Source organism: Homo sapiens, chromosome 2 (assembly GCF_000001405.40).
Source record: "Homo sapiens chromosome 2, GRCh38.p14 Primary Assembly".
Lineage (NCBI taxonomy): Eukaryota > Metazoa > Chordata > Mammalia > Primates > Hominidae > Homo > Homo sapiens.
In genome coordinates this window covers 152,442,641-152,468,612 of record NC_000002.12, presented here as the reverse complement: position 1 = coordinate 152,468,612, position 25,972 = coordinate 152,442,641, and the positions used below count along the sequence as shown (strand labels likewise).

General features: G+C 41.8%; 1 protein-coding gene across 13 annotated transcripts in view, besides 5 other annotated features; it reads right to left on the bottom strand.

The window, feature by feature from the left end:
* The window catches only part of FMNL2 (formin like 2), a 314,653-nt gene that overhangs the window by 181,214 nt on the left and 107,467 nt on the right, over positions 1-25,972 (bottom strand). The window lies entirely within an intron of this gene.
* Positions 11,914-12,504: an enhancer, noted in NCBI's record as "NANOG-H3K27ac hESC enhancer chr2:153312623-153313213 (GRCh37/hg19 assembly coordinates)". NCBI's record gives its function as "activates a minimal SCP1, AML or CMV promoter by ChIP-STARR-seq in primed H9 embryonic stem cells {active_cell/tissue: H9 hESC(primed)}" and the evidence as "EXISTENCE:reporter gene assay evidence [ECO:0000049][PMID:30033119]".
* Positions 14,280-14,870: an enhancer, noted in NCBI's record as "NANOG-H3K27ac hESC enhancer chr2:153310257-153310847 (GRCh37/hg19 assembly coordinates)". NCBI's record gives its function as "activates a minimal SCP1, AML or CMV promoter by ChIP-STARR-seq in naive H9 embryonic stem cells {active_cell/tissue: H9 hESC(naive)}" and the evidence as "EXISTENCE:reporter gene assay evidence [ECO:0000049][PMID:30033119]".
* Positions 14,871-15,462: an enhancer, noted in NCBI's record as "NANOG-H3K27ac-H3K4me1 hESC enhancer chr2:153309665-153310256 (GRCh37/hg19 assembly coordinates)". NCBI's record gives its function as "activates a minimal SCP1, AML or CMV promoter by ChIP-STARR-seq in naive and primed H9 embryonic stem cells {active_cell/tissue: H9 hESC(naive and primed)}" and the evidence as "EXISTENCE:reporter gene assay evidence [ECO:0000049][PMID:30033119]".
* Positions 14,904-15,198: a silencer, noted in NCBI's record as "tiled region #8392; K562 Repressive non-DNase unmatched - State 22:ReprW". NCBI's record gives its function as "represses a minimal TATA promoter and a strong SV40 promoter by Sharpr-MPRA in K562 cells {active_cell/tissue: K562}" and the evidence as "EXISTENCE:reporter gene assay evidence [ECO:0000049][PMID:27701403]".
* Positions 15,744-16,038: a silencer, noted in NCBI's record as "tiled region #469; HepG2 Repressive non-DNase unmatched - State 2:TssF, and K562 Repressive non-DNase unmatched - State 21:Repr". NCBI's record gives its function as "represses a minimal TATA promoter and a strong SV40 promoter by Sharpr-MPRA in HepG2 and K562 cells {active_cell/tissue: HepG2 | K562}" and the evidence as "EXISTENCE:reporter gene assay evidence [ECO:0000049][PMID:27701403]".

The following is a 25,972-nucleotide window of genomic DNA, read 5'->3' as shown; positions in this document are numbered from 1 at the left end:
CCAACATAAAATTATTAATGAAGTAGGGGAAAAAATGCAAAATAAGCTTTTGAAATCTTGTGTATTTTTACTTACAGCACATTGTAATTCACATGCTAAATTTTCAGCAGATACACTTATGTTTAGATTTCATAAAATATACAAATGAAAAAAAAACAGGTTCACATACCCAAGTTGTTCCAAATACAGAAAAAGTTTTCCAGTAACTGAAGTGTTTTTAAATGTAAATTAATTGAACTGAAATAAACTTAAACTGTTTGCTCCTAGGTTACACTAGCCACATTTCAAGTGCTCCACAACCTCAAAGGCTGGTGGTTCCTGTATCGGACGGCACAGCCCTAGATCTATACACACTCACTTTTGAGGAAACAAGAGAGAAATCTCATTATGTATCAGGGGAATTAGTTTCTTAATCAAAGGCCTCAAGGGCTGTAATAAAGTCAGAATTCTTCAGAATCCCTCAAATAAAGGTATCAGTGCTACACTGAAGCCATGACTACTCTATGCTTTGTCATTCAGGGGCTAAACCAATTCCTGGTTCAATCATTTGCCTTAGCAACTTAGGAGCAGTGATTTAGAAATGGGTAAGAGCCTGAGCTCTGGAGGCCAACTGCCCAGCTTGAAAATCCAGATCTTCTGATCACTTGCAAGTAGCTTAACAACTCCATGCTTCAGGTCCTCCTAAAATGGGGTGATGATGACAACAGTACCTACCTAACCAAGTTATTTTGACAATTAAATGAGCTAAAACACACATAGCTTAGCACAGTGCCTGGCAGATTAAGAACTCAATAAACAAATGTTGTTGCTTGCATCAACAGTTGACCAGGCCTGCTCTCGGAAGAAAGAAGCACTCCATGGCAAAACCTATTGTGTGCACACATGCATATGCTGTGTACATACTGATAAAGTCCACAGCGAGCTCACTATGAAGATGGCAATCAGAATTAACCCTATATCATTTACATCCTCCACAAACAAAATAATACAAGCACAGACAGTTCCTTAAACAGCATATACTATCCAAACGAGTGCACGGCATCAAAAGATGCAGCGTAACTACACAGGATGAGCTGCTGGTAAAGTCAGCAGCATTCACAGGGGAAAAGCTCTGTCAGCCTTCGATTTGTAGGAAACAGGGGCCGAGGGAAGAAGCAGGAGGCAGGAGAGTGGGGTGAAGTACCCGTTAACAAACGGGACAAGCAAGATTCCTAGTGTAAGCACATACGGTATTTATTAAGTTTGAGGAGTCTGGTTACATCTATTTTGAGATTTGTGTGTTTCATTTCAGTTTGCCAAAGGAATGACAATCCAACAAGAATTACTGAACAGGTTCAGCACGTAGAGGAATATGTTGGCACTTCCAAGAAAAAAGAATAAGGTGCTGGGGTAGATGGTAAACAAGCAAGATCCAGCTCTTGTCAGAAAAAAAAGAGCCAAATGACCAGCAAGAAAGGAGAAGTGAGATTCTGCCCAGGAAACGGGGCTTACTCAAGAGTTAAGGTAAGGCAGTGTCAGAAACACAGTGAAGCAAGCCAAGAACACTAAGGCTTGCCTCATTGTAGGAGTAGCTGTACCTCACTCAGCCCTCTGGCTATAAGTGAAGCTTCCCAGACTGGAGGAGGCAGGAAGAAGGAAGAATATTTCACAGCCTCAAATCTTCAGGGACAAAATCGGTGCAGGCTTATTAGGAAGAGAAGCGGCAAGCCTTAGAACACCAACCAAAAATCCATAGAAAGACATGATTTTATTGCTGGCATCCCACTCACAGCACTTCACGGGGACTGCAGAGGCTGCCATGTTTCTTTGGATCTAGTTGAGAGAGGAAGACAACTCACTTGATAAAGTACAAGGAGAGCTAAGTTCAGAAATGCCATATTTAAAGGGCAGTATATGCCACCGTCTTCTCCCCCTGCTCCTTAATACTAAGGAAAGCCTGAGGGATCTTATGAAGGAAGACAAAGGAAGTCCAGTGTTAATAGGATGGTCTTTTGCCATTTTTGTTTCATGAGATGACTTCAGCTCAACTCTCCTTCAAACCCAATTACTAGCCAGGCTCTGATTTTGACTACTCAAATCCAAAGTGGCCCACATTATATCCACCAACAATTAGATATACTACAATGATGACTGGGGATAAGGGGGCTATAAGTGGTTAAGGAGGAAGAAGAGAATTCCAGATACTTCTTTGAAGTTAGCTCAGTTTAAGAAAACTTTAAAGAGAAACAAATAAAGACAGAAAAGAAAGAAATTTTACTAGTAGTGGAAAACATTTTCTTCAAAGATAAGGTGGTTTACAAAACGCCAATGAGTCACCCAGAGGCCAGTGCAGCCCAGACCCATCAGGGGCATGTCCTCCCCCGCAGCGGGCAGGAGGGCACACGTGGTGTCCGGATGGAGGCGCCAAGTGACAGGGTTCAGACAGTCCTCACACTATAAAGTGCTGCATGGTTTACCACACCTGCTATATGCTCTCTTGAGTCTCCTAACCAGTCTCCTTATTTGCCTGTTAGGAAACCATGGCTCAGAAAGATCAAGATCATCTTATTAGTTAAGGTAAAATCAAGATTAGACCTCAAATTTCCCAAATCCTAGTCCAGTGCTTCTTCCCACAACATTAAGTTGCTTCCTGAAAATAACCAACCATAATTCTCCACTTAGCAACCTTTCTAGCAACTTTCTGGTCCTGGTCATAAACTCTCACCTCCACCATAAACTGATGCTTTTATCAGGGATATTCTATCACATCTCCATGTTCCCAAAACAGAAAGGAAGTTTTAGGGAACCCCTTTCCTTTGCTCTAGGCGCAAGCCCACAGGTGCCCTCGAGGCAAAGTGCTAAGATAAGTGTGTTGACATCATTTTCCCATGGAAGAAACCTGATCTCTCCAAAGAAAAGCCGAGTACTTCCAGTGGACAATTCTGAGCCTTCTGTTCCCCTACTTATGCCAACTGCTTAGCTTGAGCCAGATGGGGGGTGGGGATATATCCACTAACAAAATCTGGAATAATTACTGGGGTTTAAGTGCAATGTATCCTTAAAGAAACAGAAGCAAAAGCAATTAAACTATAGCACTGTACCTGGACTCACATCCAAAAGCCTCATTCAAGATACTAAAGGAGCCATTTCTCCCCTTCCCTCCATGGATTCCTTCCCTGTGCCTTTGTCCCACTTTAACCACTTTGCCCAAATAGCCCACTGACCAGGAACATCCCAGCCAAGTATTTCCAAATCTGGCTTGGTCAGCCTTCCTGCTCTCGGGCTCCTTTGAACCTCCTGCCTGCAACACACAAAATAGCACTGAATTGAGGTCTGACATGGCTCTTGTGGAGCACTCACCAACACACCAGGCTGCTTCACACCTCAGTGCCTTCGCACAGGGTGTTCTTGCCTGCACGAATGCCCTGTCCCACTAGTCAGAGGGGAGTCTTTTCAGAACTCTGCTCAACTCCCCTTCTCTATGAAGCCTCTCCGACTTTGCTGGTAGTTCACTACTTGCGCAGGGCTATGAGATCGCACTTGTTTCTTGTTGATGCTGCCATGGTAGTACTGATCCCACTGTATTACAAGTCATGGCTGAGTTCCCTGCTAAGCTGTAAGCCAAGAAGTTAGCATTCATGGCTCTTTTTAAACCTTTGTACATCTCGTGCCTAGCAGAGGGAAGCTAGATGGATGTCTAGCAATCAGGTCATCTCCCCTTCTCAATAAGATTCCTGAGGACAGAGATTAGGGCAATTTTTTGGTATCCCCCACAGAACCCTCCACTTCGCTAAGCACAAATGTCAAAGGCATCAACAGCAACAACATGCACACAGTAGCTTATTTCTCTGAGAAATAGGACAAGCATTCCCAGGGAGGCTCTGAGGAAAATGCTTTCAACTTTACCCAACTAGAGGATTTAGCGTCTGAGCCTCCTCCTCACACGCTGATCTGTTTCCACTTCATTTGTGCTAACTCATTTTACACTCAATCTAGTCTACACTGAGATCCAAGGTTATCCTCTGGGGCAAGGACAGTGAAATGGAAATTACAAAAGCTCATCAACAGACAAATGCTGGGAGAAAACATCTTGAACGTGTACTCTGCTCCCTTCTCCCCCAAACAATTTCACTGGAGTGGACAAATTTCAGTCCATCAGGGGGGTACATTCCTGAGGAGCTAGAGAGAGACCTTGGGAATTATCACACCCTGAAGAGTGGAAGCCAAACAAGAAATTTCTGCACTAAGCTTTTAGAAAAATAAGGCTAAAAAGAGAACATGTTTAAAGCCAGCCAAAGGAGTTAAGAATAACAAACAAACCCACCATTCTATTTGTTGGCACCCACAGAAAAGCAGAGGAGGAAGATACATTTGAAAATTAACCATCAGTGGCTGAGTGCGGGGGCTCACACCTGTAATCCCAGCACTTTGGGAGGCCAAGGTCGGCGGATCACCTGAGGTCAGGAGTTCAAGACCAGATTGGTCAACGTGGTGAAACCCTGTCTCTACTAAAAATACCAAAAAAAATAAAAAATTAGCCAGGCATCGTTGCATATGCCTGTAAACCCAGCTACTCAGGAGACTGAGGCAGGAGAATCGCTTGAACCTGCGAGTCAGAGGTTGCAGTGAGCCAAGACTGCACCATTGCACTCCAGCTTGGGTGATAGAGCGAGACTCCATCTCAAAACACACACATACACACACACAAAGGAAGAAAGAAAATTAACCATCAAACAAAGCAGATACCTGTTCTAGGTTTGAAGTGTTTTTCTCCAAATGGGAAAAGCCAGGGAGAAAAAAAAACAACATTCAATTCATTATAAACTAACTCATTTCAAATTAAATCCTGGCTGAGTAGTACCGGGAGCTCTAGGATACCTATTAGAAAAACTAGGGGAGAGGGAAAGGGGATGGTCTGAAAGCTACCTTTGCATGGCAAGCTCACTGCTCCTAAATTTGAGACACATGAGTAGCAATATTTTCTGAAGATGCTTTTATTTTATCTAAGACTGAGGAAATATCCACCATCTATTACAAGTCTAAGAGGGGAACTTCAAAGTCACTAGTGAAATCTTGCCACCCCTTGGTACCAGTAATGCAGAAGGCAGTAAACATCCTATTAAAGGCAAATTGCACTCAGGCCACAAGGGTATGATTTAGTTCTCTGGAGCAGATAATACCATAGGCTTTGAAGCAAAACCACCTTGGTTCTAATCCCAGCTCTGTCTCTAATAAGATGTGTGACCTTCAGCAAGTCACTGAACCTTGATTTCTTCATCACCAAGAGAAGGGTAATAGGCCCTATCTCCCAGGGCTGTTGTGAGGGTTGAATTAATTCATGTCTAACATATGAAAATGGCTCAATTTTAAAAACTATTATTTCAAAAAGGTAAGAAAAAAATTTATTTCAGGAGCAAGTATAACTGCAGAAGTATAAATGTTGGTCTCCATTACAAAGCAATGATATTTTTTGACAACAATCCTTTAAGAGATAGAACAAACAGGTTTGATAACTCCTCTTCTAACAACTAGAAATCCGACGTGCTAACTGGCTAACCCAAGGTCACCAAGATCATATGTTGTACCAGGAAGAGAGCAGAGAACTGCTAACACCCAACACAGTGCCCCTTAGAGGATAACGAATCTGTTGGACTACAAACATCCAATTGTTAATGAGATTTTTTCCCCCTAAATATCAAAAGAAACATTCTTTATAAATCCAAGCACAAGGGCTCTATTATGAAGAGAGAGAAAACAAGCCACGAATTGGAGGAAGCTGGATACGCTACATTTCTCTGCTTATGTGGTGGCAGAAACATGAGATCCAGGTTTAAGACAGGACTCCATCACCCCCCAGCTATGTGACCTTCAGCAAGTCAACTAACCTTTGAATCTCTTTTTGTTAGCCAAGTGGGATCATTTCTACCCCATCTAATGCACAGGGTATGATCAATTAAGAGTATATATGTAGTAGTCTTAGGAATCTAGCAAACACAAGGTATTGATGTGGTTCCTTCTTTATTTGTTCTTGTTCCTAGCAAACTTACATATAATATGAATAGCAAGGAAATAGATTTGTGGAGAATTTATAATACAAGCATAGATCTGTTCCCAAATTTGTTATACATCACAATCACCTGGGGAGCTTTGTAAACTCCGAATGACTAGGTCATCTCCATCAATTAAACCAGAATGTGTGGGAGTGGCAGACAATCAGAGGTTTTTTTAAAAATCCCCCTATAATTCCAGTGTGCAGTAATGTTTGAAAACCACTGGTCTAAGCTATTCTCCTAATGTCTTAATCATTTTCTCACTGCCTAAACTAATTCAAATTGTGGCTCCTTTATGAGTCTCTAGTTGAGTACGACAGCCACTAGCCCTATGTAGCTACTCACACTTGAAATAAACAAGATTAAAATTCAGTTCCTAGTTGTACTTGCCACATTTCAAGTCTTCAAAAGCTACGTAGGTGGCCAGGCCCAAGGGCTCCCACATGTAATCCCAACACTTTGGGAGGTTGAGGCAGGAGGATTACTTAAGCAAAATCCTATCTCTACAAAAAATTTAAAAATTAGCAGGGCACGATGGTACACACCTCTAGTCCCAGTTACTTGGGAGACTGAGGTGGGAGGATTGCTTGAGACTTGGAAGTTGAGGCTGCAGTGAGCAGTGATTGCACATCACACTCCACGCTGGGCAACAAAGAGAGATCTTGTCTCAAAAAAATTAAAAAGAAAAAAAGCTATGTAGGGCTAGTGACTACCTTTACTGGACTGGACTGTGCCAACATTGCACATTTTCATCACAGAAAGTTCTATTAGACAGTGAAGCTCTAGCTAGTCTGTAGCACAAAACCATCCTATACAAAAGAAGAACAAAATTCTTTTTGTAATTACATATCACCTTGATTATTTAAGTATTAAAGGTAGAAAAGTCTTCTCTCAACATCCATATCTGTGCTGTTAAATACAGTAGCTGCCAGCTGCACAAGGCTATTGGCATTTGAAATATGTTTAGGGTGAAGAAAGAATTGAATTTTTAATATTAATTTAAATTAATTTTTAATTCAGATTTTAAAACATGTTTGACTCAGTTATTGAAAAACTTTTAAGTATAACTGGAACAAATGTGGTATGTGAATCTACTTTTTTGACTCTAAATTTTATAATCTAAATACAGATCAAATATTTCCAACAAAAATTCAACATCAAATTGAGATGTGCATTAGGAGTAAATCATACACCAGATCTCAAAGACTTCATATGTTTAAAAAAAAGTAAAATATCTCACTAGTAATCTTTATATTGATTACATGTTGGAATGATATTTTAATATACTGGGTTAAATAAAATACATTAAAAATAATTCCGAAATCTGTTCTTTTCTCATTTTCTTCACCATCTATCTAACCAGGTGAACTGTTTCTTTCTTATCTCCTAACGTGGCTACTGGGAAATTTAAAGTTCATCATATGGTTCACATATTTCTATTGTTCAGCTCTGTTCCAAATTATCAATTCTTTGAAGGCAGAGGTCATATTACTCTTTTCTTATCCTCTACAGCAGCAGCCCCCAACCTTTCTGGTACCAGGAACCAGGGACCGGTTTCGTGGAAGATCATTTTTCCATGGACCAGGTAGTGGGGAGGCAAGGGGGAGATGGTTTGGGGATGATTCAAGTACATTACATTCATTGTGTGCTTTATTTCTATTATTATTACATTGTAATATATAACGAAATAATTATACAATTCACTATAATGTAGAATCAATGGGAGCCCTGAGCTTGTGTTCCTGCAACTAGACAGTCCCATCCAGGGGTGATGGGAGACGGTAACAGATCATCAGGCATTGGATTCTCACAAGGAGCATATAACCTAGATCCCTCACACGTGCAGTTCACAATAGGATTCACACTCCTATGAGAATCTAATGCTGCTGCTGATCTGACAGGAGGCAGGGCTCAAGCAGTAATGCAAGTGATGGGGAGCACTGTAAACACAAACAAAGCTTTGCTCACTTGCCCCTTGTGCGGCCTGGTTCCTAACAGGTCCGTGGCCCGGGGGTTGGGGACCCCTGCTCTATGAAGAGGGCAGTTGTGGGAAAGAAAGATATTCAACAAATACTGGCTCAATTCATTACAAGGCCAAAATACTTTGACCACTCTCAAGTTTGTTAAAATTACACTGTAGTGAATTTTAACTGAGCTTTGTGACAAATCAGTTTTCATCCAGAAGCAAGGCATACGGTAAGAACTTGGATGATAACTTTCTTCAGTCTTTTATCTGGCAGGACACAGTACCATATAATGGCTGCTAAAAACAAATTCAAACATATGAAACCAAATAAACACATTAATTACCAATATTTCAATTTAGTTCTACATGGATAGAACATGCTATTCTTTGTCCCTATTGGTCCCATTTGGGTTATTTCAATCAGGTATCATCAGACCACCAAATGAACATAATATGCCCACTACGTATATAAATGAGCCCACTGCGAAAAGGACATAAATTTTCACAGCCTACTTGATTCACAGAATATTTATATTTAATAGTTAAATAGAGAACTGACTTAAATTGACTCAAACACTGTTATTAAAGTGCCTAGCATGATTTATCTTAAAATAGCTCTTCTTTCAACAAAAGATAATATGAAAAAATTTCCTATGTTTATTTGGTGACTAGGGACTCAAACGAAAATTTTGGTGATTTCTAAAACAAGTGTCTCACCACTGTGACAGCTTCCAAGAGCTCACAGAAACATCTGGGGTTTTTTTCTTTTCCATTTTACCTATTTATGTATTTTTTCTTTTGCAGCTTTGTTGAGATATATTTCACATACCATACAAAGCACCCATTTAAAGTATGCAACTCAATAGATTTTAGTGTATTCACATAGTTATCTGTTATTTTTAATACCTCATCTGGCCCAGATTAACTTCTTTTATTTACAATAGGTAGAACCCTATTATAATAGGAACTCTGAAATAGCTCGTTTTTTAAAAGATCTTCTCTCAATGAAAACAGATGTCTTCCCTTTCAACGTCTATAAAGTTGATAGGAAAAGTAATAAAAGGCACAAAATTGAAAGAAACAAAAAACATTTTGCTTAATATGCCTATTAGTAAGTTTTATTTTATGCTATAAGATCCCAAAATAACGTAAAAAGGCAAAATCAATTTTGTATATAAATCAATCACTTAGACTCAACTCTTCAGGGAATCTAGAACTCTTCAGGGAATCAAGAAAATAACAAAGGCTCCATTGCAGTCTTAACAAAAGCAGAAATCAAAATCATGGCATATTCATGAAAGACCTCATTCCAAAAATGCTTGGTTCAGTGCGAATTCAGATCTTTGGGTGTTCTTTGCATTCCAGTCATCAAGAAGAACTAGTTATCACAATGAGCACTGAAAGCAGAGAGTTCTCTCCATATGTTCTCAAAAATTGGCCATCTTCCATTTTTTCAAATCTTTTCCATGACAAAATTTCTGCTTTTGATAATCTGCATAAAGTCCCTGAAACACAGAAAAAGTAAACAAAAAAAATCTAGAGGTTTGGTGATTTTGCCATTACAATGGTTATTACCAATTCTCAACTGTACTGTCTTACCATGTCCACTCTGGGACATAGACTGACTCTCTGTACACCTTTGAATTTTCACACTCAGCAGTTGGTTCCAAAACGATGGTGCACAGTTTGGTGCCCTTAACTCTATTACACACTTCCCACAAGACACACTCTCTTCATTAAAACTTGCCTTCAGAAAACTGGTATCGTTTCCCAGAAATATAATAACCTCCACCTACATGTAAAGCATGATGCCTATCACTCTGGGTGAAAGGTCAATTATCCTCCCTCAAGGAGTTTCCCGCACAGCATCACGTGGGGCCACCTATACCAGCATCACCCACAGAGGCCGTTTCATGCCAAACTTCTTGACCCCATACCAGAACATGTAATCAGTGTCTCTGAGGGTAAATCCCAAGACTGACTTTACCAAGTATTTTAGGATGGTGGTATAGATGGAAAGAGCAAATGCATTCTTGTGAAAGTTAAATAACAGTACTAGGTAATTATGATAAACTCCAAATGTGGAGTGAGGATGGCCAATGTCGCAGGATTTCATAGAAAGAATGGGCAGAAATAAGGGAAGGGCACATTCTGGTTTGGAAGGAATGACCCAGGCAGGGAGTCAGAAATGTGCAGTCAACAGAACAGGGAATGAAGGGCAACAGTGAGTAAACACATCCAACCAGAACAGAGTTATTGCTCCGGACTAAGATAAGAAGGGGTAAGGACCCCACTATGGAGTTCTCTGAGTGCCAAGCCAAGGAGTATTTCTGAGTCAGGGAATAATATATCAAATGGGGCTGTCTAGCAATTATGGTACAGGTATAGAAATCTGAAGGAAAACTAATATAGAGGCCCATTCAACTGGGTTAGAGAGCCACAGGCACTACAGAAAGGGCCAAGCCCCCCTTCTTTGATAGGCAGAATAATGGTCCCTAAAGATATACCCATCCCAATCCCCAGAACCTATGAATATGTTACCATACATGGCAAAGGAGACTTTGCAGATATGATTAAAGTTAAAGACCTTGTGAAAGTGAGATTATCCTGGATTATCTGGGTGGGCCCAATCTAATCACATGAATCCTCATAGATGGAGAACCTTCTGAGGTTGTAGCCAAAAAACTGGGGACATGCAAGCATGAGAAGGTCTTGCCCTGACATTATTTGCATTGAATATGGAGGAAGGGGGCCACAAGCCAAAGAAGGTGGTGGCTTCTAAAAGCTGGAAATAGCCAGGAAACAGATTGTCCCCTAGAGCCCTCCAGAAGGAACACAGCCCTGCCAACACCTTGGTTTTAGCCCAGTGGGACCCATGTTGGACTTCTGACTGCCAGAACTATAAAATGATAAATCTGTGTTATTTCATGCCATTAAATGTGTGGTAATTTGTTCCAGTAGCAATAGAAAACATACATCTTTTGGTCATTTTTTTCTTACAAAGGACTTCTCTGCTATACACTGTGATCTCAGATCCACATCCACCCACCACAAAGAGTTGAGAGAGATTTCTTAAGTTGAATGTGGACCCTGAAGTCTGTGTGGTAAGTGTCACTACTTTGGAGACTTAAAGTCACAGGTGTGAAGAAGGGATAGTTAGGCACCAGTCTAGTTAGCACATCTTCATCTAACATCAGCTTCAAAGACTTCTCTCCCAGCCTCACTTATCTTGAAAAACAAGGGAAGTCTTAGAGCAAATCCATATCACCACAATGATGGGAATGTTTAAAAGCCACTTGTTCATGTTAGTCACCCCATTCTGAGTTCCATGGAGAAGTGTTGTATTCATCTTTATTTTGCTAGATCCTACCATAGTAGACATTCAATAAACTAACAAACAAATCTTAATTTCTCAACTTTTTTTTTTTTTTACCATCTCCCTCTGAGCTCTCCAAATTCCTTATCCAACTCTGATAACTTTCTTTACTTCTTGTCCACAACTCTAATTTATTTCCAATATTTACCAGACTGTTTAACAGTCAACTCCATTCTTCGGGCACTAAAAGCTACACATTATCATAACCAGAATTGGTAGCAAGTATAGTGTCACTCAAAAATATTTTAATCATGAAACTCCCCCAAAGGGGATTCCTTTGTAGCAATTTTTTTTTTTTTTTTTTTGAAAGGGAGTCTCACTCTGTCATCAGGCTGGAGTGTAGTGGCGCAATCTTGGCTCACTGCAACCTCCACCTCCCAAGTTCAAGCGATTCTCCTGCCTCAGCCTCCTGAGTAGCTGGGACTACAGGTGCCACGCCTGGTTAATTTTTGTATTTTTTTTAGTAGAGACAGGGTTTCACCATGTTGGTCAGGCTGGTCTCAAACTCCTGACCTCGTGATTCGCCCCCCTCAGTCTCCTAAAGTGCTGGGATTACAGGCGTGAGCTACCGCGCCCGGCCCCAAATGTTTTCAAAATACACCACTTCTCTCCATATTGTAACAAAGAAGAGTAAACTGAAGGGCATATTATAAATCGGTCTTGAATCAAGCAGCACATCACATTCTTCAGAAGCAAGAAGCCACTCATCTAGTTTTCAGACAATGTGTTAAATTCAACATTCTTGGGCACAGTGACTCATGCCTATATTCCCAGCACTTTGGGAGGCCAAGGCAGGAAGACCGCTTGAGGTCAGGAATTCAAGACCAGCCTAGGCAACATGGCGAAACCCTGTCTCCACAAAACAATCAATCAACATTCTAGCACTCTTCTTGCTTCTGACTCACTAAAACAGGTAAGAGATCAAGGTGATCACTTATTTACCTTTTCAACCTCATCTACCAAATCCACAATTCTAAAAAATTGAGTTAACACAAAGTCTTCTTCCTCTTTCTAGTGAGAGGATAGTTGGAAAGAAAATTTGATCAAAATAAGAGCTTGTCAAATAAATTTACACCTTTAGGGAGCTTAGAGAAAGGACAAAATTTCTGACTCAAACCTTCCCTTCTAGCATTTATCTAATGTTCTACCTTTATATTCAAATGCATTAGTCAAGACATACATTGCACTGAAACTTTGTGGGCATCATCCAATGAAGAAAAATATGAAGCCAGGTGCAGCAGCTCATGCCTGTAATCCCAACACTTCGGGAGGCCGAGGTGGGAGGATCAATTGAGGCTAGGAGTTAAAAGACCACACTGGGCAACGTAGTGAGACCCCGTCTCTACAAAAATTTAAAAAATAAGCCAAGTGTGGTGGCACCTGCCTCTGGTCTCAGCTACTCAGGGGGCTGAGGTGGGAGGATCACTCGGGCCCAGGAGGTCAAGGTTGCAGTGAGCTATGATCACACCACTACACTCTAGGCGGGGTGACAGAACAAGGCTCATTCTCAAAAAACAAAAGAAAAATATGATATGACATGAAATATATATCCATATCACTACAATTATGGTAATGTTTAAAAGCTACCTGCTTATGTTTGTCATCCATTATGAGTCCCATGAAGAACTGTGTTGTATTCATCTTTATTTTGTTAAGTCTTAGTACAGCACCCAGCCTGTGGTAGGTGCTCAGTAAACAAATGGAAGCTTCAGTGGCCCCCATATCTAAATGTTGCTCCAAACCCTGAATGCTCCTTTAGAGCATCAGCTTCCATTTCAAACAAGAGCTTTCCTCCCTCCTGTGTGCTGGCTGGAACTTTCCTCTGGTGGTTTCACCCGTGCCTTTCCTCATTCTGTTGATTTGTTTGTTTCGTTCACATCATCCTTCCCCTAAAAGGACTTCATCTGATTTGATTCCATTTCCTTCTTTATTTGCTTTTTCTCCTCGAGGCCTTGATCCTCTTGCCTTTTAAGTAGCCAGCCCCTACCCTGTTCCCACCCTTTCCAAGTGTACTTCCCATCTGCTTCATTTTTTTCTTTTCTGTCTGCCTTCTGGTGCTGGTGTTCCCCTTGCCCTCCCTGCCTGACCTCCCCTTCTCAGCTTCTGTAGGAAAGAGCTGTCTCCCAGTTCCAGGGATGCTCATTTGAAAAGAAAACCTCTGAGGCCAGCTTTGAACATCCCCAGGACTTCTGTGTGGCATAGTTTCTTCCTCCATCCAGGACTCCTCACAAAGGCCTGGGGACCCTCTCAATGACATGTCTACTTCAAAGTAAGGTATCAGGATGGGCTTTTCCCACCCTGACGCAGCACTGATGCAAGCTTCCCCTCAGTATCTGGAGCTCCTCCAGGAATGCCCTGAGAATCAGAGTAAGAACAGCTACAGGCAGTCAGTGCTCTTCTCTGAGGTTATTGCCCCTTCTTTGGCCCTTTCTCTGACCAATTAAATCAATGGCATGAACAGACACTCTCAATCCCTTCCTCTTGTATGCTGATGAAAGGTCCAATCATTCAGTAGTCCTTGAAGAACTAGGCCTTGATCTTAATGAAGAGCTCCCAGCATCCCTTTCTGCCCACATTCCTTCACAGCAAGCCAACAATGGAGCAAATACTCCAGGAAGGTGGCAGAAATAGACAAAGTTTGTCACCTGACATAGGCTCTAAAACTCCTTCAGTAAAAATGAGCTTTTTCTGTGCCTTTGCACCCTATGCTACCCGTGATCCAGCAGGATTTTAACAGTTCTTTCACAAGTGAAACATTACACCCACCCAAAAGAGATATTTTCAACTTAATGTGTGAAGATTTTCACCTTAGTGTCTCCAAGATCTAGTGGGAAGTCTACAGTCTTAAATTTAATACAAGAGAAAAAATAAAGATTAAGAAAATAATCAAATGAGCCATATTTGCCACTTTATTTCATATTCTTTTCCCAACTGCAAAGAAAAAACCCACTTTTTTTCTTTATTTGAGACAGAGTCTTGCTCTGTGGCCCAGGCTGGAATGCAGTGGTATGCTATTGGCTCACTTCAACCGCTGCCTCCCAAATTCAAGTGATTCTCCTGTGTCAGCCTCCCAAGTAGCTGAGATTACAGGCATCTGCCACCATGCCCAGCTAAATTTTTTTGTATTTTTAGCAGAGACAGGGTTTCACCATGTTGGCCAGGCTGGTCTCGAACTCCTGACCCTCAAGTGATCCACCCACCTCAGCCTCCCGAAGTGCTGGGGTTATAGGCGTGAGCTACTGCGCCCAGCCAGAAAACATATAAATCTAATACTTAATTTTTCATTTCCCCCACAATACAATACCTGAGGTATCTAAGCTTTCTAAAGTGTTTTTCATTTCATTATCCTTATTTCTCATGTTTTTGAAACCATGTTCTTGGCTAGGACACGAGAGCACATTTGGGGCATGTATTGTTTCCAATTAGGCTCTAACGCCTTGGCTTTCTGTTATACACAATCTCCCTTTTCACTCTCTGCTTATAATGGCTGTGCCCTCGCAGACAGCATGCAAGGGACAGAATGGCATACAATCTAAATTAGTCAATAACCTTAACAGATAGCTCAGTCTTTACCTTTCCCTCTCCTCTCTCATTCAGCTAAACTTCAACCAAAGCTGCTAACCCAAAAACAAAAGCAGGCATTGAATCTGAACTCCTTTTGTTTCTCCCTCTAACAAAGAGGCAAATAAGCAGTAATACAGCCAGAAGGCTGGGCAGCAGGGGAGGAAGGGGACAAAACAAGCGTCCTGGCAATCCACAAACTGGATCGTCCCCTCCTCTAAGATGAAGGGCTGAGGATTCTTTGTTCCCTCCCTTCCCCACCAAGTGTTAATAATCCCCAATAAGTCACAGTTCAAACATGACACAGAAAGCTCTTTTAAATATATACGCAAAGGGTATTTCTGAGCAGACTGCTCCTAATGAAGGAGTCTGTGAATCACACTGGGTCAGTCAGGGCCCAGAATCCACTCCTGACCTTTCATTCAGCCGTATTTTCTTTCTTTCTGTAATCCCCACCCCCACCCCCACCCCCTGACGCCAAGACAGAGTCTTGCTCTGTCACCCTGGCTGGAGTGTACTGGTGCGATCTTGGCTTGCTGCAACCTCTGCCTCCAGGGTTCAAGTGATTCTCCTGCCTCAGCTTCCCGAGTAGCTGGGGTTACAGGTGCTGACCACCACGCCCAGCTAATTTTTGTATTTTTAGTAGAGACAGGGTTTCACCATGTTGGCCAGGCTGGTCTGGAACTCCTGACCTCGTGATCCACCCACCTTGGCCTCCCAAAGTGCTGGGATTACAGGCATAAGCCACCGCGCCCGGCCATTCAGCCATATTTCCTTTCTAATCCAGCACCACACTGAGGCTTAACTCTGGTTTATACTTGGACTGAGAGCTGGAGATCCAAACACTGCTGCTTCCATGGCTAATTGCATCTCACCTGGTACGACAGCCCTCCCCATCGACAGCCCTCCCCATCGGGCCCTCGACAAAGGTATGCAAAGGAATCCCTTGGCCCATGGCATCCCCTCCCACCAGCAAAGGAGTTGCTCGGTTACTGCTCCCCACCAACACACACACATACTTAATAGCCCCTCACTTCCCACAGATGGGGGAATATGAAAATATTCCAAAAGGCCCCTGTGGTAACTTCTGAGCAGTCACATTTGTCCCATTACAAGAGTGTTTTTAAGAAAACTAGGGGGGGGAGGAGTGCAAATTCCTACCAACCCACATTGATTCGCCTTTGCCAAGAAGTTTCTGCTCCTTCAACCCACTGCGTAGTGGTTTCTGCCTACAACAGTAAGGTGACAACCCTGACTAGACTTCCAATGGCGACTCCAGGACCAAAACTCGTGTGAGAAAAGATCCAGGCAAGCTTCTGTTGTTCTGAAATGCTAGCAGAGGCAGGAAGGAGTCAACAGGCGAGGAGGCTGCCTTCTGCCCAGCTTCTCAGAGTTAGATAAGTCATATTCCTGAAAATCTAATTTAAATGATTCCCAGATTTTTCTTCACAATCTATCACGCAAGTCCCTCAACTGTCTTTCGGGGAGCAAGTCCCTCAACTGTCTTTCGGGGATGGGGAAAGAAAAAAGATTCTAACACCTCGAGTTGCCAAAGCAACAAATGTATTCACTTTGATGAAAAGAGTGAAGGGAACAGGGGAGCCATACAATTAGGTCAAAGTGACTGTGGCATTGTCCTGGCATGAGAAATGAAATGGGCATACAAATCAATGGCTCCCAGACTTCAGATCAAGGCCAGGGAGCCCACGGGCCTGGGTTCTTTCGGGTTTGGGGAAAATGACCTCTTTCCTCTCTTTTCTCTACAGTGTATTCTCTCCTGCTCTAATTCTTTTCCCTCCAAACTTACCCCACACAGGCCTAGGCTTATCAAAATGTGAGGGCACATTCAGCCCACAATCGAAACTGAAGTCTGTAGAAAGAGGAATCCAGTGGCTGTACTTCTTCCACTCAAAAGTCTGGAAAAGCCACCTAATTATGTTAATGTATTCAGTTTGTTTCGAGAGTCTAGTGTTTCAGAGTGTGGACTCCGGAGCAAGCGGGCTGACCTCCAACCTCTGAATCCTAACTTGGCCACTGACTGACTATAGAACCCTGGGCAAGGTGGTTTATCTCTGTGCCTCAGTCTCCTCATCCATAAAACGGTGCTGATATTAGTACCTATGTCAATCAGGTACAGATTAAACAAATTAGTATGCATAAAAACACTGGTCACAATAAGGATCCAATTAGCATGGACCCCTCAAGCTGAAGAAGTGTCAGAAATGTGAACACAGGCAGGGTGCAGTAGCTCATGCCTGTAATCCCAGCACTTTGGGAGGCCGAGGTGGGCAGATCACGAGGTCAGGAGTTCGAGACCAGCCTGGCCAACATGGTGAAACCCCGTATCTACTAAAGATACAAAAAATTAGCCGGGCATAGTGGCACACACCTGTAGTCCCAGCTACTTGGGAGGCTGAGGCAGAAGAATCGCTTGAACCTGGGAGGAGCAGGTTGCAGTGAACCAAGATGGTGCCACCACACTCCAGCCTGGGCAACAGAGCGAGACTCCATCTCAACAACAACAAAAAAAAACTGAAGTCCAAGAGTTCAAAGTTAGCACCTCCAACAGAATACAGGGAAAGACACAGCATTTTAGCAGTTATCTCCTCCCATGGTTTTCAAACTTTTCTACAACCTGGAATGTTTTATTCAACAAAATCTTACTCCAAGCGTAGAAGGCAGAACAAAAGTAGAGCTGTGCCAACTGAGGATGGGGTAAGGGCATGACCTGGAGACCCAGCGACCTGCCACATCCCAGAAGAACCTTCAAAATCCACCGCCATGGGTAATGGACACATGGAGCAGGGACATCACCTCATGATCTTGTCCTGTTTGTAAAGATGACAACCGTCAATGATTTTAAGGAACGAGTGGACAGGTAAGAGGCTATGAGCTTTTGTGAGAGCTTGGGCAGGAGACAGTGAAGTCAGGCAGAGGAGACTGCGATGGGAGGTCAGACAGCAGGAGGAGATGCCACATGGGGCTGACTTAAGTGAGAAGGGAGGAGTAGGGAGGAGCTGAGGATGGCTCTGCTCCTGGCCCCTCTAACTATGGCAACTTCTGGCTGTGCATGGTATATGCAGCAGTCTGGATAATGAAGATGAGCCAATCTTTTTTTAAACAAAAATTTTAGGAGAATGAATGGTTTTTCGAATAAACAATCTAATTAAAATCAGAAAAGCTTTTTAGTTTTCATCTTTAAGTATAACACTGAAATGTCTTACTAAATTTCTAACTGCTGTAACTACAAAACATGAAAAGCCTTTAGTACCTGAAGGTACTGTTGTCTCCACGCTCCACGGAACACTGCAAAAGGAGAGAACTGAGCTGGCTCTGTCCTCACTTCGTTATGTTAATCAGAAGGGAAACTGTTGTTGATTTGTTAAATCCTTCAGTTTTTCTTGTGTCTTGCCTCTTTCTTATTAATGTAAAGCAAAGAAAAAAACAAGGCTTAACTACAAGTTCTGATTAATACAGGCTTTATGCATTTGGTTTAGAAATGTGTATAATTTTCTGCAATATATTTGTCTAATTGTTTTTTTAATGCAAATATTAAAATTAGTTTTTATTCCCCAAGCTCTCAGTGATTGAAACTCCTTGCGGGCCTATTTCAAAAACTGGAATATTTCTATGTCGGTGACAGAAGGAGCCGTTGTTACAGAGGACTTAAAAGTGGAAGAGAGTATAGAAGAGGCAACAGGTAGATTTGGAATAGGGTATGACCTTTTTCCTTGAAATCTGTTTGAATGAGGAAAGGTTTCTATGTAGGATGGAATGTATAAAGGTGGTGATAACTCATTAGACTACTCTGGGAAAATGTAGGAAGGTTATGCAGTCTGTCAAACATGTAGCCACATTAATGCTTTAGCAAAGCTGTTTGACACCAGTATCTGAGAAGCTTCTTCTACAAGCAAATTCCATTTTCTAAAGTCTTTGGATTTTTTTGACGACTGTCTGTATTCTAAAAAGCCGTAACTCTTACATTAATCTGTTTGCACTAGGTAACCAAGCAGTGAAAACAAGGCCACAAGTAGGAACATTTAGCCTATTCAACCCCAAGTTTCCTCTCAAATGATACGGACCTAAAGGGAAGGTTTTCCCTCCTCTCTGGAAGCTAAAAGCATGTAATTTTAAACCTCTCAAAGAGGCACTTACCATGAGAACCTTGACCGGTGCTTCCCTGCAAGGATGAGAGCCCCCCAAGTCCTGCCATAAAACTACAGACTATTTTAAGGGGAGAGGTCAGGAAAAAAATTTGAGAAACTTTACACTGTTAATTAATTTTGCAGAAATCCATTAGATGGTAGAAAAATCCTGAAAAGGAATCTCATACACCAAGGCCTATGAGCAGAGAAAAAAAGGAAAAAAGTAGTCCCAGAATCTGTTCCCTGCATATCACTGCATATTAAGCATGAAGATCACACATCTAAGAGGCTATCATGCAACAAAAATCCCATAGTTCCGGAAAGAGAAACTAAAGAGAGAGAAACCAGAGGGAGAAAGAAGGAAGAAGTGTGCCTAAAACAGACATCATCTAGTCCTTTCTAGCAACTAAGAGGCACAAAAGCATTTACAAAAAGAGAAATATTGAACACCCCTTCTGTTGTGCTTGCTTGGTGAGTTCAGTGTTTTGGGTCTTGACTACTGAGTGCCATCTTAACCAACAGACAATTAGACATTAGAGGCTTCAACATGGCTTTGCCAGGCACAGGTCTTTTGGTTTCTTCTCGACAAACACAAAGTGCATGGCTTAAAAGCACTAAACAGTTCTGTATTTCAGAGACTCTTCAAGGGACAAGAGCATGAGAGATGTAGGAAATCCGGACACACGCATGTAATCAGCTATCTGAGGGAAAGCTTAAACGTCTTATCAAAGCAGCACTCTCCAAGGATTTTCTTTTTGCAAAAAATGTTTTTCTTACCTCACTGTGGTCACTGACCTACTTTTAAATTCAATGCTGAAAATGGTGCAAGGCTTCACGAGAATTACAGAGCCTAATGCATAGGAGTTCAACAAATGCTTTGATGAGTGCATCTGGTTTCAGATAGTATTCAATTTACAGAAGGTTTCCTTTTATGCCATACTGACAGTCCAAAAAAGAGAAAACCCCGAGGAGTTTTACTCCACATTTAATCTGTCTTTCCAAGTCAAAGAAGAGAGTTTTATGAACAAGTTCCTCAGTCTGTTGGTTTGAACTAAGAGGACAGTCTATGCTTATCCCGACAATTAACAATTTCAGATCACTGGAGGATTATTTTATGTTACTCTTGTTTGAACATTACTCAAACTCCAACAAGAGTCAAAGGTACCCTTTGAACACACTCTCAGAAGCAACTCCCTAAAAGTTGCTTCTAAGCAACTTTTATCCAATACTTTTATCCAAAAATTTAAAATTAAGCAATAAATACTTAAACACTCAGCAGTGCTGAAATAGATACAGAATAGCCTTCTGTTATTATGTGTTTTTTTTTTTTTAAGAAATCAGCAAATGCTAGGTGCAAAAACCTATACTGCCAAAATCTTTAAGCAGCTCCCTTACACATACAGTCAGGTATGTTTTGACGAATTCAATGGGTATAGGAGAAAACATGTGGAAACTCATCTATGACCATGAGTTCAACCTGCAGGCTTGTGAGTAATACATCAATGAAGATGCCACCTTTGGAAAATTTATTCTCTATCAAATTACAGTTAAGTATTAAAAACTAAAGAGACTAGTGGTCTTGTTACATTTTATAAATATTTTCAACTGAAGACCAGCACTGTTATATACCTACTGTCATATCATATGGTAATACACAGGCATACTTTTTATGTAACTGGCAAACAAAAAGCTACACACAAGGAAGAACAAATGGATGCTAAGTCGTTTGGTCCAAACGACAGTCAAAGAAAAGGAAAATCACTGGAGGAAAGGGAAGGGAAAGGACACTTCTTGAGGGAAGACTATCCAGTAAGGAAGTTATTAGCAGCAGTAATCCAGGCAGAGGGAGGTAGGGATTGCACTAGGGGGTGAAGGTGATGTAAGATAGAAATGGGGTGAAAATGCATTTAAAGAGACATTTCAAAGTGGAAAAAGATGGTAACAAATTGACTACATCAAAAGGAAAACATGGGTCTCGGTTACATACTGTAAAATGGCATGAAGCTCACTGCTATTTAATAAAACCACTTCTTTGCTTCCTGTAATTGTCAAAGAAATTTAAAATACTCAACTTCAATTACCATCTAGCTGAAGAAAATCTGAGATTATTTTCTAAATCAAAAATAAGTTGATGGCTGACCACAGTGACTCACACCAATAATCCCAAAACTTTGGGAAGCCAAGGTGGGAGGATGGCTTGAGCTCAGGAGTTCAAGATCGGCCTGGGCAACACAGTGAGACTTCATCTCTGTAAAAACTTTTTAAAAATTAGCCAGGTGTGGTGGTGCATGCCTATAATCCCGACTACTGGAGAAGCTGAGGCAGCAGGATTGCTAGAACCTGGGAGATCAAGGCTGCAGTGAGCTATTATCTCACCACTCTACCCTACAGCCTGGGCAACAAAGTAAGAAACTTGTCTCCAAAAAAAAAAAAAGTGAGTTTATTCACACAACCTTTAGAAGATTGACAAAGTCTCTTTTTTTTAAACTCTTCTCTTTCAGGGTAAATATCATCTCTTTACTAAAAAAATCTAAACTGGGCCACCCAGAAAAGTTTAGCTGCCTATGAACTCCAGTGGTATGACTTACCACTTCCTTCCCTCCTTCCTGCCTCTTTATTAAATTTATAAAATCTTTGCCTTTGTCCAAATCAAATAAAACTTTGACACATCACAGTGAGCACCAGTTGTGTTGCGAACTGTTAAGAAGAGATATCTATAATGGTATACAGAAAAATCAGTAGGGGTGTATTTCCCCTACTTAAACACCATACACACATACGAAGTCCTTTGCATATCTGCAGATTCTTCCTTAACAATGGTCTATAATGTATTACATTTACACAATTGCTATTCTCTTCCATTTCCTTTAGATCATCCATTACATTCTTTATCCAGTTGAATTCCCTAAAACAAAACCAACAAACTACTTTTCATTTTTAATGTCAATTATTTACCTGGTACTTCACAAAGATGCTGTATTTAGTTTCTCTAAGAGCATGCTTTTTTTTTAACCTATTATGTAAAATTTCAAACAATCACAAAAGTTGAAAGAATAGTATACTGCACCTCCATGTATACTTCAACAATCATCAACATTTTGCAATCTGGTTTCAGCTACCATCCCCCAACCAGGCCTTTAAAGTGAATCTCAGACAGCATGTCATTTCATCTGTAAATATTCCAATATGCTTTTGAGAAAGACCTTGTATAAACAATCACCCATAAGACAGTGCTCTGTTATTCTAAAAAAAATATTTATTAGACCGTATTTGTAAGTATTAAAAATGATTTTGCCATTGGGTTAAAAAGCTACTCATTAAAAAATGATTTTAGGGACAGTCCCTCTGAGCCCAGGCTAGCCAGCATGGACACAGAAATCACTGACTATAATGCCAAGTATGAGCTTGGCAAAGATAAAATTACTCACAGCCTACATGCGCCACACACATGGTCTAATTTCTTGTAAGATTAGAGAACAAATTAGTAAAACTGGAATGAAAACCAAAGTCTGTTCAAGGCTGGAATTTCCCCAGTAGTCCAATGTTTCAGCTACTGTGGCTGTTTAGAAAGTATCATGAATCACCCTTAAAGATGAGCTGTAATGTTTTTGGAAAAAAGAAGCCAGTGTGGTTTAGGGATGGGAAAGGAGGGGAGGTACTAGGCTGCTTGTCAACCAGCTGACCCGGAACCCTGACGACTGGCTGATGGCAATTCTATCTGTGTGAGTTAGCATATTAATTAAATACTAGAACAAAGTCTACAGTGGTGATTCCCAAATGTGGCTTCCTCCAGGCTAGCAGCATCACCTGGGAACTTGTAAGAAATGTAGATTTTCAACCCCTGATCCAGACCAACTGAATCAGAAACTTTGGGGAGGACAGGGCCCAGCAATCTATGTTTTAACAAGTCCTCCAGTTGATTCTGATGCATGATAAAATTTCGAAACCACTGGTCTAGAGCTACACTGTCTAACCACCTGTGACTATTAAACTCTAAAGTAATTAAAATTAAGTAAAATTTAAAATTCAGTTCCCCAGTGACACTAGCCACATTTCAACACTCACTAACTCAGCAGCTAGTGGTTACTCGGCACAGATTATAAAATGTTCCATTGGACAATAGTGGTCTAGGACATTTAAACTGAAGTTTAATTTACAGAATACAAGGCTTCTCTTATTCTGGGAGGAGGGGAGTACTCACCAAAAGTGAGATTCTTACTTTGGCAGAATCTCAAGGGCGTTTCCCAGGTGTCCACTGCATGACTCAGTTTCCACAGGGAAAAGCATCACAGAATTGGGGAAGACAGTGGAAGAAGAAGACACTGTTGCCCACGTTAGCCACACAGGTGAAACACAGACTGGAGTGTAAAAGACTCCATTTCTTTAAAGAATTGAGACTCTGATGTAGTCAGGATCAATAGTATCAGCACAAACTGGCTCTTTGAAAGTTCTGCAACTTGGGATTCAAGGAGACTCCTGGGCAGATGCTTTCCATCTTTATGGAAAACCACAGTGCCAACAGCAAGATACCTCCCCCAACTGGCTTTGCCAGAGGAGAACGACAGAACTGTTTGTGAACCATGTATGATGCCCTCAGAGAGAATCAAGAGGGGTCATGAAGAGGACTGAGATCCTGCCTACCAACTAAGTGGGCGCAATTACTGGCAACATTTTAATATTGATGGTCATATGACCTCATTTGTAACCTCACACATGGTGGAGCAGGGGACACTGAGTTACCCATAGGCTTGCTGAACATTCAATCGACTCTATCATATTTTAATACCATTATTGAACTGATCTCAAGGAAACAGCTGCCACAACTATGTTAAAATCATACAGGGCCTTTTGTCTCCACTAAATCAGAACTGAAACTAGGCAGGCTAGGACAGACTCCAGGATTCAGTCTCTTCCTCCTGAGCACGCAAGCTCACTACCTCCCATTAGGATAAAGGGGAGCTAAGTATTTACTTGCTCGTTAGAGTCTATTTCTGTAATGTGTTATCCTGCCTGCCCCAGGAATATCTTGCATATCTCTAAATGAAAGTAGTCCAAAGGAATAAATCTTTCATGCTGGAAATTAAGGCTATGTGGCACCTAAGTGAGGCAAACCCGAATGGGGCCTTTAAGCACCCTCAAATCAGACTAAATATCAAGCTGGTTCTTGTGGGATAGTCATGCAGACCACCCATGCAGGGTCTGGGCGGTGGTCTCCTTCCCATCCCATACTCCCATGGACATGCCTCTATCCAGCTTTTCTCTCCCTTCCAAATCTTCAGTCTCTCCCTCTGAATCTTCCTATTACATTTAAACACTCTCAAGTCTCTTCCATCATCATCATCATCGTGAAAATCCCCCAGCTACCCCACCCTCTACTCGGCTGCCCTCTCTCCTTCCAGTCTTCTGGAACTTACTGCTTAAATAGTCAGTTTCTGTCCTGACCCTCCTAACCCATTGCTGGCTGCCTTCTGCTTCTTCCAAGCCACTGGAAGAAAATCTCAGTCATGGTTGAACCCTCAGTGTCTAGCGTAGAGCCTGGCCCAAAGCAGGCTGAGTCAGCACTGTGTGAATGCACGACGGACTTCCATGTTGTGAACTCAACTGAACCCTCTTTAGTACTTAATTTCCTGGCATTCCCCAGCAGCAACTGATGCTGTTTCTCTCCTCTCCTTTTTTTTCTTTTTTTCTTTTTGGATGGAGTCTCTCGCTCTGTTGCCGAGGCTGGAGTGCAATGATGTGATCTTGGGTCACTCCATCCTCTGCCTCCCGGGTTCAAGCAATTCTCCTGCCTCAGCTTCCCAAGTACCTGGGATTACAGATGCCGGCCACCACGCCCGGCTAACTTTTGTATTTTTCGTAGAGACGGGGTTTCACTGTGTTGGTTAGCCTGGTCTTGAACTCCTGACCTCAAGTGATCCGCCCACCTCAGCCTCCCAGAGTGCTAGGATTATAGGCGTGAGCCACCACGCCCAGCTCTACTCTCCTCCCTTCTAAACACATCTTCCTCTTGGTCTCCACAATAGCACTGTACACTTCTGGTGTTGTGACCCTCTCTAACAATTCCTTCTCCTCTTCCTCTAGCTTCCCTTAATGAGTTGTGACCCTTTGCATTCTGTCCCAGGTGCTCTTCTCACCTACCTTCCTAGCTAATCCCATCTACTCCAATGGGTTAACTATCAATCCCAAACTGATGGTTCCCAAAGTGGTAGAAGCCTCTCCCCACTGAAGTGAAGGCTAGTGCACCGACAGACTTGCAGGTCTCCACACACACCATCACATCACTATCCTGCTTCCTGACCTCTCTCAGAAAATCTGCTCATTGAGTGCTCCCTATTTCAGTGAATGGCACCACCACCCATCTGGTTCCCCATGCCAGAAACCCCGGCTTCACCTCCTTCGTTTCTCGTCTCTAATCAACTACCGTCTATAAGTATCTCTGGACAGACTCACTTTTCTCCATCATTATTTCTTACCTGAAATAGTGATACATTTTTCAGGTCATTTGCCCTGCTCCTGTCCTGCCCAACCACCCACAAATGCCCATTCATTCCTGCTGCGGCCCGAGCGATCCCTCTAAATGAGTATGATCTTCAGACTGCACCTGGGAACTTGTTAGAAATGCAAATTCTCAGGCTCTAGCCCAGACCTACTGAATCATAAACTGAGCATGGAACCCAGTAATTAGTGTTTTAACAAGCCCTTCAGACAATTCTGATGCAACATAAAGCTTGGGAACCACTGCTTTTAAATATAAATCTGCTCACATCACTCTCCTGATTGGAAAGCCTTCAGTGGTTTGTCATTGTTCCTACATTAAAGGTCAAATTTGTAGATATCTTTTATGTATTATAGAAACAACCATCCTAAAATGAAGGGTGAATAAAGTCTAAACACA